The sequence below is a fragment of the Homo sapiens genome, chromosome 19 (genome assembly GCF_000001405.40).
Source record: "Homo sapiens chromosome 19, GRCh38.p14 Primary Assembly".
NCBI lineage: Eukaryota > Metazoa > Chordata > Mammalia > Primates > Hominidae > Homo > Homo sapiens.
The window spans coordinates 48,500,855-48,515,944 of record NC_000019.10 but is presented as its reverse complement, the minus strand read 5'-3'; the positions used below and the strand labels follow the sequence as shown (position 1 = coordinate 48,515,944).

The following is a 15,090-nucleotide window of genomic DNA, read 5'->3' as shown; positions in this document are numbered from 1 at the left end:
ACGGTGAAACCCCGTCTCTACTAAAATACAAAAAATTAGTCAGGCATGGTGGCGAGCGCCTGTAGTCCCAGCTACTCGGGAGGTTGAGGCAGGAGAATCACTTGAACCTGGGAGGAGGTTGCAGTGAGCTGAGATTGCACCACTGCACTCCAGCCTGGGCAACAGAGCAAGACTCCATCTCAAAAAAAAAAAAAAAAGCCAGTGGCAGTGGCTCCTCATACCTGTAATCTCAGCACTTTGGAAGGCCAAGGCAAGTGGATCACCTGAGGTCAGGAGTTCGAGACCAGCCTGACCAACATGGTGAAACCCCGTCTCTACTAAAAATACAAAAATTTCCAGGCCTGGTATCGGGCACCTGTAATCCCAGCTACTCAGGAGGCTGAAACAGGAAAATCACTTGAACCCGGGAGCTGGAGGTTGCAGTGAGCCAAGATCGCCCCCATTGCATTCCAGCCTGGGCAACGAGAGTGAAACTCGATCTCAAAAAAAAAAAAAACTATTTTCCAAAAAAATTCAGTGCATTGAGTGGCATTGTTTGTGTCATTTTGAAAATCTTTTTTTTTTTTTTTTTTGACAGAGTTCCACTCTGTCACTCTGTGGCCAGGCTGGTCTCAAACTCCTGACCTCAAGTGATCCGCTGGCTTTGGCCTCCCAAAGTGCTGGGATTACAGGTGTGAGCCACCGCGCCCGGCCGCACATCTCTTTAATGTCTGGCTGGATCCTTGCATCTGTGTCTGTCTTCAGTGCAGCCATTCATTACATGTCAGGCAACTTCTGGAAACTTCTACTGTCCACTTATGAGTGAATGAGAACGAAAAAGGCAGTTAACATCTCAGGAGGGTAGTATACAAATACTTTTGACCTCATGGACCCCTTGAAAGGGTCTCAGGGACTCCTAAGCGACTCTGAACCATACTTTGAGAACCACTGACATGTAGTTTCAGTTTTGAAATCAATAAAGTGTCAAAAAGGAAAAAGTTTTAGGGCAAGTTTGGTGATAAAACTGACCTAAACAGACTGATACTCTTTTTTTTTTTTTTTTTTTTTTTTTTTTTTTTTTTTTTTGAGGCAGACTCTCGCTCTGTTACCAGGCTGGAGTGCAGTGGCGCGGCGATCTCGGCTCACTGCAATCTCTGCCTCCTGGGTTCAAGCGATTCTCCTGCCTCAGCCTCCTGAGTAGCTGGGACTACAGGCACGCACCACCATGCCCAGCTAATTTTTGTATTTTTAATAGAGACCGAGTTTCACCATGTTGGCCAGGATGGTTTCGATCTCCTGATCTCATGATCCACCCTCCTCGGCCTCCCAAAGTGCTGGGATTGTAGGCATGAGCCACCACGCCCGGCCCCCATTAAAAAAAAAAAAAGTGCTGATTGCCACGGAGGATTTTTTGTCTTTCTTTCTTTTCAGAGAGTGACTTTGTTTCTGAGACCACCGAGGATCTTGATATCACCCCTGCTAATGGCTGGGCGCTCACAGTTTGGAAAGCTCTAGGGAACCCTCTGTTACTCCCCAGACAAGACCCACTCCATCCCCACCCTGACTCAGTGGTGCCCGGCAGTGCTAAGTCCTGATGTGCAATTATTCCACTCGTGGCTGCTTTCCTTGAACCCCCGAGACTCCCAGAAGGTGAGGGAACGCGTCTCACTTGCTTCCTGCTGCAGCCCCAGCTTCTGGCCCAGCGCCTGCCTAATCACATAGTGGGCACCTAGTAAACGTTCGTTGAGTGAATACATGAACAAGCGAGCTGGGGCCAGAGTCAGGACTGCAGCCCCGCCTGTGCCGCTCCCTAGGACTTGATAATTCTGCCCACATCACTTCCAAAGACCCAGGCAGCGGACCCTTCCTCGGCTCCTGCTACCCGCATCCAACCGCAGCTTAATCTGAGCCTCCTTGCTGGGTCGAGCAGGACTACATTTCCTACAAGTCTCAAGGCCAGGACTACACCTCCCATAAGCCTCTGCTTCCGCCAGGTTCTGTGCCCTTCAGCCACCCGGGCAGCGAATTGCGTCTTTTCTCACTCCCCGCCCCCCGATTGCATCCCCTCCACCCTGCAGCCTAGGCCGTGCGCCCCCTCCCTCCCGCGATGAACCTGCCTCAGTTTCTCCAATGAGACACCCTGAGGGCAGCCCCTTCCCCTGAGCCCCCCGATGAGGACGGCTGCGCTCTGCGGGGAGTGTGCACTGCCCGGCCGGTGTGCGCCACGGCTGCGCGTTTTGGTGGAAAGCCCTGGGCCCCTGCTGGGGGTTGGGGTTGGGGGCTGGGTCGCCTGCGCCGAGTGTTGCTGAGGCTGCGTCTTGGGTGCGCAGCTCCGGCCCAGCCTCACCCAGGGGAACGCCTCGCAGGTGCTCACGGACGATGGAGAGGTCCGCGCCCAGGGTGGGAGTCCGCGCTTCCGGGTGTGTCTGCAGCTCGGGGCGCTGGAGGGTGGGATGTGACCCCGAGACGGCGGCGGCCTGGCACGTGATGTATGTGTGTCCTTGTCTGATGTGTCGGTGTCCCCGATGGACCGGGTTCCAGTCCCAGCTTTGCCACTCCCCGGCTTGTGTGCCTTGGGGCAGGTGACTACCCCGCGCTGTGCCTCAGTTGCCTCATCTGTACAATGGGCATGATTAAAAAATACCTGTCTCAGAGGGCGGTTGTGAGGATTGAGAGGTAATTCTGTACGTGTAAAACGCTGCGGACGATACCTGGCACAGACTAAATACTCATAAGAATAAATACATTAAATAAACTATGATCATGTATCTTTTGTATGAGGCAAGTGCTGTGGTTGTGTAATGTCTGCGTAACCGCACGGGAAACGTGGGTATTTGCGACCCGTGTGTCTGTGCGCGTGTCTGTGTCTGTGTTGTGGGTGTGTGACTCTTTGTATGTGTTATGTGTGCCAGTGTGTGTTTATGTATGTGATGTGTGACTGTGGTGGGGTTCTGTGTCTTTGTAACCTTGTGTGAAAGGTGTGTGTATTTGTGATGTGTGTGTCCATGTCTGTTTAGGTATGTGATGTGTGCAACTCTGTGTGTCTGTGTATTTGATCTGTGTGCCTATGTCTGTGCTTATGTATGTGTGACTGTGTATATGTGCATGTTATATGTGTCTGTATGTATCAGTGTGTGGTGTATTTATGTGTATTTTTGCATGTGATTTATGTAGCCCTGTATGTATGAGTTGTGTGTGCCCGCATGCATGTGTATGTAGTGTGTCTGTGTGTATCCATGTGAGTGAAGCTTGTGTCCGTGTGAGTGATGCATGTTACGTGTCCGTATACATGCATGTATTATGTTTCTGTGTACTCATGTATGTGATGTGCCTGTCTCTGTGTAGCTGCTGTGTCCGTGTCTATGTTAGTTCATGTGATGTGTGTGTCTGCGTGTGTCTGTGCAATTGCTGTCTGTGCATGTCTGTGTGACGTGCATGTATGTGATACTTGTGTCTGTGGGTATTCTTTGTTGCCCATTTGTCTAGGGACTGTCTGCGTGGCTGTGACTATGAGTGTCAGCATGTCACAGTGGTGTCCGTGGGGATCTTTGTCTGTGGCGTGTGCGTCTGTGGATCTGGGGCTTTACTTTGTCCGGGGCATGTGTGGGTCTTTGTGATGCTTTGACGTTCCTGCGTGGCCGGGTGCATCTGTGCTGGAAGCTGGCCTGCCTGTGCGTTTCCAGTGCGGTCCCTGCGTCTTTGTGTGTGACGTGTACGTGTCCCCGTCTGCTGATGGCTGTCCACCTTTGTATGTGATGCGCTTGTCTATGAGGGTCCCTGCGACGTGTGTCAGCTGTGTGTGGGCTGCGCGTGCCTGACATCTGCATCTTAGCGTGTAGCACATGTGTCCATGCTGGTGGCATGTCACAGCGGTGTCCGGGCCAGGCACCCGTGGGCCCTGCCCCCCCACCCCCGCTGCAAGTGTGTGCCGGTCCCTGTCTGTCCCTCCCCCTCCCATTTCCTCCCCTCCCTCCTGGCAGCCAATGCTACGGGGGAGCCAGTTGCCATGACGACGCTCCATCCTCCCTCCTCCCACCCTTCCTGTGACAGGCTCTCTGCTCCCCCAATCCTGGCTGCCCTCGGGGGCGGGGCCCTCTTTCTCGCCCCCCCCATCCTACCCTCTCCCCCCCACCCCAGCAACCCCGGCTCCCCAGCATCTCTCCTCTGTCCGCCTCTCCATCCCTTCATCCGTCTGTCCCTTCAAAGAGGGGGAGGGGGGTACCTGAGCCAGCAAGCAGCCCCTCCCTCCCCCTGTCCTGCGTCTCCTGCCCCTCTCCTGGGCCGGGAGGAGGCCAGGGTCGCGCGGGTCCCCATGGCTGGGGGCTGAGGGCCCGCCCCCCCCTCCTCCCCAGCCGCCACCACCTCCACCTCCCTGCCATCCTCGACAAGATGCCTGCCCCCGGCGCCCTCATCCTCCTTGCGGCCGTCTCCGCCTCCGGCTGCCTGGCGTCCCCGGCCCACCCCGGTGAGTCTGTCGGGCCATCAGTCTGTCCGGTGGCCCCCACCCCCGCGGCGGCCTCGCTGTCTGCCCAGGGGTCTGTCTGCGGGTCCTGCCCCGTCACCTGGTGCGCGTCTTCCCGCAGCCCAGCAGGGCCCGGAGCGGCGGGGACGGTGCCTCTGTCAGCAGGGCCTGTGGGAGGGAGGCTGGGGGCTGGGTGGGGAGGGGGCTCCGTTTGGGCAACATGTGTGTATGCGTGCACGCATGTGTTTGTGCTGGTGTGTGCAGGAAGAAGGGGAAGGACAGGGCCTCTGGGAGAATTGGGGGCAGAGGACAGGAATACTATTTCTAAGGGGGACACAACACGGGAGGCTGTCTCTGGCTTCTGGAGAGACCCAGGGCTTGCGGAGTTCCCTTCTCTGGGTCTTGGGCTGGGGATAGAGAACATCGGTGTGCGCCAAGCGTCCCTAAAAGAGACAGATCTCAACCCCACAAACTGGGGGGTTCCAGCATGGGGCAAGAATCTTCTCCCAGCCTGCAGCTGAGAGCTAGTCCTCCTCCCCAACGAGGGGTAATGAGGCTGTCCACGGGAGCGTATTTTAAATTCTGCAAGCTCCAGACTTCACTATCACTCCTCTTTCCTTCAACCCTCATTGGAATTCATCCAAGCCTGGGGTGAGGGGATGGGGTGGGATGAGGTGGCGGGGGTCCCAGTTTGGGACGAGAAGAGAGACCCCACCCCCAATCCAACCACTTGGGAAGGCCCCAAACTACAACTCCCACAATGCCTTGGGCCACTCTGCACCTCTGCCAAGGGACCCTGGTCGCAGAGCATCACGGGAGTTGTAGTCCAAGACGTGCCGGGACGGGAGGGGGCATGATTCCGGTATCCAGGGACTTGAAGCTGGGACCCCAGCCCAGCCCTGTGCCCACAGATGGATTCGCCCTGGGCCGGGCTCCTCTGGCTCCTCCCTACGCTGTGGTCCTCATTTCCTGCTCCGGCCTGCTGGCCTTCATCTTCCTCCTCCTCACCTGTCTGTGCTGCAAACGGGGCGATGTCGGCTTCAAGGTGAGGTGCATGAGGGGATTCAACTTGGGGAGGAAGACTCCAGCAAGGCCTTTACCCCCTACACAGGTGGTTGGTGGGGAGAAGGGGGCAGTAAATCCGAGAGCACCTTCCAGCTTGAAGCTATGGCAAGATCTGGAGCCTTGGGATGGGGAAATGGGGGATGGAAATTGGGCTGGGACTGGGAGACAGTTACAAAAATGAAGGGGAGACAAACTTAAGAGAAAGACGATGGCGTGTCTCTCAGCCCTGCGTTCTCCCACCCCTCTTCTCCTCTCCTGGCCCCAGGAATTTGAGAACCCTGAAGGGGAGGACTGCTCCGGGGAGTACACTCCCCCTGCGGAGGAGACCTCCTCCTCACAGTCGCTGCCTGATGTCTACATTCTCCCGCTGGCTGAGGTCTCCCTGCCAATGCCTGCCCCGCAGCCTTCACACTCAGGTACTGCCCCACGCCATGACCAGCATCCCATGGTGTCCCGGGAAAGGCCAGAAGATGTTGAGTGTGTTCCTTCAGGGGCTGGGGCGGTTGAGACCAGCGGCAGCCAATGGGAAAGGCATAGGTGGGAGCGCTGGAATCTTGGAAGCAGCCTATGGGGAGGCAGACAAAGATCATCTTGGTGGAAGCCATTGCTTAATCCAAAACCAGATTTGGGGATTTTTAAGGGGCAAGCGGTGGTGAGATTACCATAGAGCACAGTCTCAGAGGCAGCCAATGGGAGGCTGAAATCACATCATAGGAGCTTGGGATGCCAAAAGGAAGGACTGATTGGATGCTGGAGCCTTGTGAGCAGCCAATGAGGAAGCTGAGATTCTGACATGGAATGTGGGTGGCAGCCAATGAAAAGAGAGTGATGTCTGCTCTGTCTCAGTCCCCACTGACCTGGGGTGTGTTGGTAGCACTCAGGAAGGGGGAGAGACTCAGGGGCTTTCCCCTCTTGCCCTCCCCAGACATGACCACCCCCCTGGGCCTTAGCCGGCAGCACCTGAGCTACCTGCAGGAGATTGGGAGTGGCTGGTTTGGGAAGGTGAGTGGGCTGGGGAGGGGAGGCAGGGCTCCATGGATCCCGAGCTGTCCTCCTGTTCTGTGTCCACACCCCTGCTCTCACCACTTCTCATCTGTCCCTCGCCTCCTCCCCATGCCCCCTCAGCCTCCCATCCCCCCTCCGTCCACCTCTCACCGGCTCCCACCCGCCCCATCCCCGACATCTGTCAGTCAGCGCCTCCCTCCTCACTCCATTGACCACTCCGCCGCGCCACCCGGCTCTCCACGCGTCCGTCCGTCTGTCCATCCTTCCATCCGTCCCTGCGTCCATCGGATTCTGGGCCCGTGAGTGTCTCACCCCATGTCTGGTGGGGGTCAAGGGTGGTGGGATGTGGAGGGAGAAGCTGGGAAGGAGCCGGGGGTTGGGAGCTGTGTGGTGGAGTGGAGCTGGTCCCAGGGGACGGGGCTGGGGAAACGGCACTCGCTGACTCCTGGGTGCCCCTTGACCAGGTGATCCTGGGAGAGATTTTCTCCGACTACACCCCCGCCCAGGTGGTGGTGAAGGAGCTCCGAGCCAGCGCGGGGCCCCTGGAGCAACGCAAGTTCATCTCGGAAGCACAGCCGTACAGGTACTGAGGGTTTCTCAGTGGGTGTGTGCCTTGTTGAGGTGACATTCAGGAGTGGAAGGAGTGCTGTATGGGGTCACACCTGGAATCTACCTCTTCCGGTTGTGCAGCTCTGGCAGGAGAACTTCCCTCCCTGAACCTCAGGTTCTTCCTCTGGACCGAGCTAAGGGTGGGAAGTGAGAGGCAGGATGGTGGAGGAGGCGGGAGCACAGAAGCTGAGCTAGAGGCCTGCTCCTCTCCCCTCTGAACCTCCGGATCTTCATCTGGAAAGTGAGTCCAGGAAGCCCTAGTGTCCTCATGAAGAGGGCAGCTGAGAGGATGTGAGATTCCCATGTCCAATGTTGGGTACCAGCTGGTACTTCCCTTCCCCAGGCCACAGACTAGGTCCCTGAGCAGGTGCCCGAGCAGGCCACTGTGGAGCTCCATCCCTGCCCTTCTTGGTCTCTACTCCACTCTCAGTGCTTCTAGGATGGGGTCTAGGTATCCATTTGCCAGATAAATTCCTTGTGAGGTAGTGAGTTCCCTGTTTTGGAAAGGGTGTGTTCGCAGAGACCCCTTATCAGAACAGTTGTAAAGGTGGGCTTTACCCTGAGAAACACATTGGGTTTTGGCACTCCCTCACTCCAAAACCTCCCATGGCTCCCTACTGCCTACAGGACACATCTGGTCCTCCTGACAGCCCACAGGCCCTGCGCAGTCTGACACTGTCCCTTCCTTCCAATGTCCCCCTCACCCCAGCCACGCTGGCCTCTTCACTGACCCTCCCCACGGAAGCCAATTCCCTGCCGCAGCGCATCGGACCTTGCTATATCCTCTCTAGAATATCACTCCTTGCTCATCCCCAGGTGTGGATGGGGCCCCTTCCCTTCCTCAGGCCTCAGCTCAGAGACATCTTCCCTTACTCCTCCCCTCCTTCCAAAGAGGGTCCTGGGGTGCTTCACCCCGTCATGGCATGTGTTTTCTTCATAACCCATACCCCAGGTTGTCACTATATCATTTGCTTACTTGCTTATTGCCTGTCTCTCCCTAAACCTGTGCCAGCAAACACTGGCCACATATGCCTATTACATTTAAGCTAAGATGGGCACGGTGGTATACTCGTGTAGTCCCGGCACTTTGGGAGGCCAAGGTGGGAGGATCACTTGAGGCCAGAAATTGGAGGATGGAGTGAGCTATGACTGCACCACTGCACTCCCACCTGGGCAACAGAGCGAGACCCTGTCTCTATTATATAAATAAATAAATAAAATGTAAGCTAATTAAAATGCAATCAAATTAAAAACACATTTCCTCAGCCACCCTCATCATATCTCAAGTGCTCAATAGCCACCTGTGGCCAGTGGCTCCCCTGGTAGGCAGGGCTGGTCCAGAAGATTCCCACCTTCGCAAAGCTCTGTTGGACAGTGCAGGTCTCTACTAGCAGCAGCTCAGGGTCTGTCTCGTTACCCGAGCACAAGTGCTGCTGGCTCTCAGTAGACGTTTGCTGGGCGAGCCACAGACCTGAGATCAAATCCCAATGTTCCCATCATTACCAGCTGTGTGACCCTAGGCAAGTCGCTTCACCTCTGTTCCATCTGGATCAAATGGGGATCATCATCCTGCCTAGCACGTTGCTGGGAGGATTTGAGAGCAGAGCGGCCGGCCTTGGCCAGATTCGTGGGTGTGCAGTGAATCCTGGCTTCCTTCTACACCAGCCACCCCAAGTCTCCCATGCTGGGAACTCCAGCCACTGTTGAAGCCCCACACATGGCAGGAGCTTCATGAACACTTTGTCGGGCTCCTGCCTGTAATCCTAGCACTTTGGGAGGCCAAGGCGGGCAGACTGCCTGAGCTCAGGACTTGGAGACCAGCCTGGGCTAAACCCTATCTCTACAAAAATACAAAAAAATTGGCCAGGCACGGTGGCTCACACCAGTAATCCCAGCACTTTGGGAGACTGAGGTGGGCAGATCATGAGGTCAGGAGTTCGAGACCAGCCTGGCCAACATGGTGAAACCCCATCTCTACTAAAAATGCAAACATTAGCCAGGTGTGGTGGGCAGGCGCCTGTAATCCCAGCTACTCAGGAGGCTGAGGCAGGAGAATTGTTTGAACCCCAGAGGCAGAGGTTGCAGTGAGCCAAGATCACACCACTGTACTCCAGCCTGGGAGACAGCGTGAGAAAACAACAACAATAACAACACTTTGTTACACGATTCTTCCACCAAACAGAAGCAAGAGACCCTGTTCTCCTGAGGACACACAGCATAAACAGCAGAGCCGCGGTTACACACAGGCAATAGAAGGCTGGGTACTGGCAGTGGCCCCACAGCACACAAGTGGCTCTGCCTCCCGCCAGGCCCCAGTAGGAAAATAACTAGTAAGTTACTGTGCACCTACTCCTGGCCAGACCCTGGGCTGCAAGCCTGAAATGTTCTCATCCTCCTGCAGACCTCCAAGCCAGTCCTTCTCTCCACCTGTGTTTATTGAGCATCTACTACTAGTCTAGGCACTGAGGACACAGGCAGGAAGACACACCAAATTCTTATCCTAGGAGAGCTCACCCCCTAGTGGAGAAGACACACAATAGATAAATAAATACTTTTTTTTTTTTTTTCAAGGCTCACTTCAGCCTTGAGCTCCTGGGCTCAAGTGATCCTCCTGCCTCAGCCTCCTGCATAGCCACCATGCCTGGCTAACTTTTATTTTTATTTATTTATCTTTTTTTTTTTTTCAGATGAAGTCTTGCTCTGTTGTCAGGCTGGAGTGCAGTGGCGCAATCTCAACTCTCTGCAACCTCTGCCTCCTGGGTTCAAGCGATTCTCCTGCCTCAGCCTCCAGAGTAGCTGCGATTACAGGCGCCCACCACCACATCTGGCTAATTTTTGGTATTTTTAGTAGAGACGGGGTTTCACCATGTTGGCCAGGCTGGTCTCGAACTCCTGACCTCAGGTGATTCACCCACCTTGGCCTCCCAAAGTATTCGGATTACAGACTTTTTTTTTTTTTTTTTTAGACAGAGTTTCAATCTTGTTGCCCAGGCTGGAGTGCAATGGCGGGGCCTCAGCTCACTGCAATCTCCGCCTCCCGGGTGCAAGCAATTCTCCTGCCTCAGCCTCCCAAGTAGCTGGGATTACAGGCATGTGCCACCAAGCCCAGCTTATTTTGTATTTTTAGTAAAGACAGGGTTTCACTATGTTGGCCAGGCTGGTCTCGAACTCCTGACATCAGGTGATCCACCCATCTCGGCCTCCCAAAGTGCAGGGATTACAGGCATGAGCCACTGCACCCAGACTATATATTTTTTTTAATTGTAGAGATGGAGTTTCACTATGCTGCTCCAGCTGGTCTCAAACTTCTAGGTTCAAGCCATCCTCCTGCCTCGGCCTCCCAGAGTGCTGAGATTTCAGGTGAGAGCCACCAGACCAAGCCAGAAATGCATTTTAAAAAGAGAAACTGTCAGCTGGGCGTGGTGGCTCACACCTGTAATCTCAGTACTTTGAGAGGCCCAGGCAGGCGGATTACCTGAGGTCAGGAGTTCAAGGCCAGCCTGGCCAACATGGTGAAATCCCGTCTCTAATAAAAATATAAAAATTAGCCAGGCATGGTGGCACATGCCTGTAATCCCAGCTACTCAGGAGGATGAGGCAGGAGAATTGCTGGAGCCCGGGAGATGGAGGTTGCAGTGAGCCAAGATTGCACCACTGCACTCCAGCCTGGGCGACAGAGCAAGACTCTGTCTCATAAAAAAAAAAAAAAAAAAAAAAAAAAGAGAGAGAGAGAGAGAGAGAGAAACTGTCAGAGAATGACAAATACCATGAGAAAATGAGGCAGTATGTGACAGAGACAGGGGCCACCTTGGATAGGACCATCAGGGAGGCCGGGTTGACTTGGAGAAGTCAGCCATGCAAAGCACCATGGGAAGTACATTCCAGGCAGAAGGAACAGCAGGTACAAAGGATGTAGGACAGGAAGAAGCTCATGGAGAGTGAGCAGCCCTGGAAATACATTTAGAATGCAGGGTGAAGCCTGGGCACGGTGGCTCATGCCTGTAATCCCAGCACTTCGGGAGGCCGAAGTGGGTGGATCACTTGAGGTCAGGAGTTCAAGAGCAGCCTGGCCAACATGGTGAAACCCATTATCTACTAAAAATACAAAAATTAGCCGAGTGTGGTAGTGTGTACCTATAATCCCAACTACTCGGAGTTGAGGCAGGAGAATCACTTGAACCCGGGAGGTGGAGGTTGCAGTGAGCCGAGATTGCACCACTGTACTCCAGACTGGGCGAAAGAGCAAGACTCTGTCTTAAAAAAAAGAATGCAGGGTGAAAATAAAATCAAATAATATGTTGCCATTAAAACAGCAGTAATTGCTAGGATCTCAGCACATACCAGCTTCTCTCAGATCTCATGTAATTCCTCAGAGGAAGTTGTTATCGCTGTCCCATTTTTACAGATGAGGAAAACTGAGGCAGGGAGCAGCGAAGTGGCTTGCCTGAGATGACACACCTAGGAAAGTGGGAGTCAGGGTTCAAACCCCCGAGTCTGACTCTTTCCCACAGCGTGAGGGTAAAGGGGAGGGTATCCAACCTGGCATTGGGGGGGCAGCAAAGCTTCCCGGGGAGATGATGTTGAGGCAGAGGCCCGGAGGGGCCAAGAGAACTCTGATGAGAGGAGGGCGTTCTGCAGAGAGAGAACCGTAGGTGCAGGCAGGGTGCGGTGGTTCACGCCTGTAATCCCAGCACTTTGGGAGGCTGAGGCGGGCGTATCACCGGAGGTCTGGAGTTTGAGACCAGCCTGGCCAACATGGTGAAACCCTGTCTCTACTAAAAATACAAAAATTAGCCAGGCTTGGTGTCGGGCATCTGTAATCCCAGCTACTCGGGAGGCTGAGGCAGGAGAATCGCTTGAACCCGGGAGGTGGAGGTTGCAGTGAGCTGAGATCACTCCATTGCACTCCAGCCTGAGTGATAAGAATGAAACTCCCTCTCAAAGAGGAAGGAAGGGAGGGAGGGAGGGAGGAAGGAAGGAAGGAAGGGAGGGAGGAAGCAAGGAAGGAAAAAAAAGAGAGAGAGAGAGAGAGAGAAAACTGTAGGTGCAAAGGCCCGGGCCTAAGCAAGGGCCTGCAGGTTTGGGAAAACCCACATGGGATAAAGCTGACTCTTGGGCCAGCCGGAGGAGCAGGAGGAATCAAAGAGCCGGCGCTCTATCCTGGGGTGCTGGGGATCGACAGAGGGCTGTGTGTGGTGAAAAGCAGGTGAGGCAAAGGGAAGGGGAGAGACTAGAGCCAGGGAGGCTGGGAGGAGGCTGTGGGGACGAGGAGGAGAAGACTGAGAAGAGTCTGGGGCAGGAATGAAGGTGGAGGTGAGGTGTAAGGAGGAAGGAGAGGTAAAGGGGTCCCTGGGGACCTGCTCCCCCAGGAGCAGGCCAGTGAGGGCCATCCAGAGATGGGGACCTGGGGAAGGAGTGGGGTGTGGTCGAGGAGAGAGACTCCGAGGTGAGGAAACTGAGATCAAAAAGGTAGAGTGGGCCGGGTGCGGTGGTTCACGCCTGTAATCCCAGCACTTTGGGAGCCTGAGGAGGGTGGATCACTTGAGGTCAGGAGTTCGAGACCAGCCTGGCCAACATGGTGAAACCCCATCTTTACTAAAAATACAAAAATTAGCCAGGCGTGGTGGCGCATGCCTGTAATCCTGGCTACTCAGGAGGCTGAGGCAGGACTCCCGCCTGGGCGACAGAGCGAGACTCCGTCTCAAAACAAACAAACAAACAAAAACAACAAAAAAGGGTGGAGGCAGCAGTTTGGTTCTGCTGGGGGTTGGGGCAGGATGAAGAGGAAGGGGCTGCCTTCCCAACTCAGCCACCTCCTCACTCCACAGGAGCCTGCAGCACCCCAATGTCCTCCAGTGCCTGGGTCTGTGCGTGGAGACGCTGCCGTTTCTGCTGATTATGGAGTTCTGTCAACTGGTGAGGGTCTTGGGGGGTTGGGGAAGGGCAGAGGGGGCAGCTGGACAAGGCCGGGGCCAAGCCTGGTGCCCCTGGGCTTCGTCGTCATCATCATCATCATCGTAGATGATGTGTGGCATGCGCTAACATTTCATGAGTGCTGCCTGTCCTGGGGGCTGGCCTGAACAAGCAGGCAAGATGGGCTGTGTTATTACCTGCTGCAAGCAGCAGAGGAAACTAAGGCTCAGAGGGGCTACCCAGTGACAGCAGAAGCCATTCCAGCCTCCGGGCCGACTAGCTGGAGACCTGAGCGGCTGGTGGTGCTGACCTTCTTTGCCTCCCTCCCAGGGGGACCTGAAGCGTTACCTCCGAGCCCAGCGGCCCCCCGAGGGCCTGTCCCCTGAGCTACCCCCTCGAGACCTGCGGACGCTGCAGAGGATGGGCCTGGAGATCGCCCGCGGGCTGGCGCACCTGCATTCCCACAACTACGTGCACAGGTGGGCGGGCCGGGGAGCCGCGGGAGGAGCTACTAAGGGGAAGGGGGAAGGAGGTGAGGCCTCAGGGGAGGGGCTAGAGGGGGGGCGGACCCATGACTGGCTGACACAAAATAGGGACGAACCGAGGAGGGTATGGAGGAGAAGGGGCCAGGAGAGGAGGCGGGACCAGGAGGGGAATGAGAGGAACCAAGTGAGAGGGAGGCGGGGTCAGGTGATGAGGGGAAGGGCCAGGAGAGGAAAAGGGGTCAGGAGAGGAGGAGGAGGAACCAGGGGAGGGGGAGGGGTCAGGGGAGGAGGAGGAAGAACCAGGATAAGGGGAGGAGCCAGGAGAGGGGGAGGAGGAGCCAGGAGAGGGGGAGGAGGAGCCAGGGGAGGGGAGGGGCCAGGAGAGAAGGAGGAGGAGCCAGGATAGGGGAGGGTCCAGGAGAGAAGGAGGAGCCAGGAGAGGGAAGAGGAGCCAGGGGAGGGGGGCAGGGGAGGGGGAGGAGTCAGGAGAGGAGGAGGGTCCAGGAGAGGAACGGAAGGAGCCAGGTGAGGGGGAAGCAGGGTCACGTGATGAGGAGAGGTGGCTGGGAGAGGAGGGGGAGGAGTCAACAGAGAAGCAGGAGAAGCCAGAAGGGTCAGATGAATAAGAGGAGGAGCCAGTGCAGAGGAAAAGGAGAGGAGACTTGGAGGAACCAGGGGTGGGGAGAAGACAAGACAGCAGGGGAGAGTGAAAGCAGTCAGAGGGGAGAGACAGATCAGAGGGAAGGGGCAGAGTCAGTGTGGCGGGGCAGGGTCATGGGAGGGGTGGAGTCAGTGTGAAAGGGCGGGGTCAGGGCGTGGCTGGAGGGCTGCCCCTGCGCTCACCTCCTCGCGTTCTTCCCGCAGCGACCTGGCCCTGCGCAACTGCCTGCTGACCTCTGACCTGACCGTGCGCATCGGAGACTACGGGCTGGCCCACAGCAACTACAAGGTAGGGCTTCCTTCCGTCGGGATGGGGGCTGTGGGGTGCCCTGACCCGCCTGACACCGCCCTGGTTCCCTCAGGAGGACTACTACCTGACCCCAGAGCGCCTGTGGATCCCACTGCGCTGGGCGGCGCCCGAGCTCCTCGGGGAGCTCCACGGGACCTTCATGGTGGTGGACCAGAGCCGCGAGAGCAACATCTGGTGAGGACCACGGGCCGCGGGGGCCGAGGCAGGCCAGGAAGGTGGAAGGGTTACTAGATGCCACCGGTTCTACAGATGGGGAAAATGAGGCCCGGGTGGGTCAGGGCTGGGCTCTGACCTCTCTCTGCTCTCTGCAGGTCCCTGGGGGTGACCCTGTGGGAGCTGTTTGAGTTTGGGGCCCAGCCCTACCGCCACCTGTCAGACGAGGAGGTCCTCGCCTTCGTGGTCCGCCAGCAGCATGTGAAGCTGGCCCGGCCGAGGCTCAAGCTGCCTTACGCGGACTACTGGTGAGGGCTAGCCCACCCGGGGCTCCTGGCCTGCCGCACCCCACCCAGGATGGTCCCAGCATCCCCCCTCGTTTCCCACATCACCCACATCCCGTTTGCCCTCCATACCCCTCAAGAGTGAAGAGGGGCTGTCCCCACCCT

At 56.3% G+C, this 15,090-nt stretch overlaps 1 protein-coding gene across 4 annotated transcripts in view, besides 3 other annotated features; it reads left to right on the top strand.

The window, feature by feature from the left end:
* Positions 1,423–1,569: a silencer, noted in NCBI's record as "fragment chr19:49017633-49017779 (GRCh37/hg19 assembly coordinates)". NCBI's record gives its function as "represses an EF-1alpha promoter that drives an FKBP-Casp9 reporter gene in an ReSE screen in phorbol 12-myristate 13-acetate-treated (for megakaryocytic differentiation) K562 erythroleukemia cells {active_cell/tissue: K562(+PMA)}" and the evidence as "EXISTENCE:reporter gene assay evidence [ECO:0000049][PMID:32094911]".
* LMTK3 (lemur tyrosine kinase 3) overlaps positions 2,265–15,090 on the top strand; it is a 28,410-nt gene continuing 15,584 nt past the window's right edge. Inside the window, exons 1-11 of one of the 4 annotated variants that reach the window (XM_011526412.3) lie at positions 2,265–2,366; positions 4,332–4,444; positions 5,353–5,486; positions 5,772–5,922; positions 6,432–6,508; positions 6,976–7,094; positions 12,949–13,036; positions 13,364–13,512; positions 14,383–14,467; positions 14,541–14,662; positions 14,800–14,949. In XM_011526412.3, the coding sequence (XP_011524714.1) occupies positions 2,359–2,366; positions 4,332–4,444; positions 5,353–5,486; positions 5,772–5,922; positions 6,432–6,508; positions 6,976–7,094; positions 12,949–13,036; positions 13,364–13,512; positions 14,383–14,467; positions 14,541–14,662; positions 14,800–14,949 (1,196 nt within the window). In that variant the 5' untranslated portion in view covers positions 2,265–2,358. Of the gene's footprint in view, positions 2,400–2,782; positions 2,806–4,109; positions 4,445–5,352; positions 5,487–5,771; positions 5,923–6,431; positions 6,509–6,975; positions 7,095–12,948; positions 13,037–13,363; positions 13,513–14,382; positions 14,468–14,540; positions 14,663–14,799; positions 14,950–15,090 lie in introns of those variants that run through there. The other 3 variants (XM_011526411.3, NM_001080434.2, NM_001388485.1) reach the window with 3 other exon arrangements.
* Positions 13,509–14,038: a silencer, noted in NCBI's record as "silent region_10888". NCBI's record gives its function as "represses an Ori minimal core promoter by ATAC-STARR-seq in GM12878 lymphoblastoid cells {active_cell/tissue: GM12878}" and the evidence as "EXISTENCE:reporter gene assay evidence [ECO:0000049][PMID:35858748]".
* Positions 14,269–14,378: a silencer, noted in NCBI's record as "silent region_10887". NCBI's record gives its function as "represses an Ori minimal core promoter by ATAC-STARR-seq in GM12878 lymphoblastoid cells {active_cell/tissue: GM12878}" and the evidence as "EXISTENCE:reporter gene assay evidence [ECO:0000049][PMID:35858748]".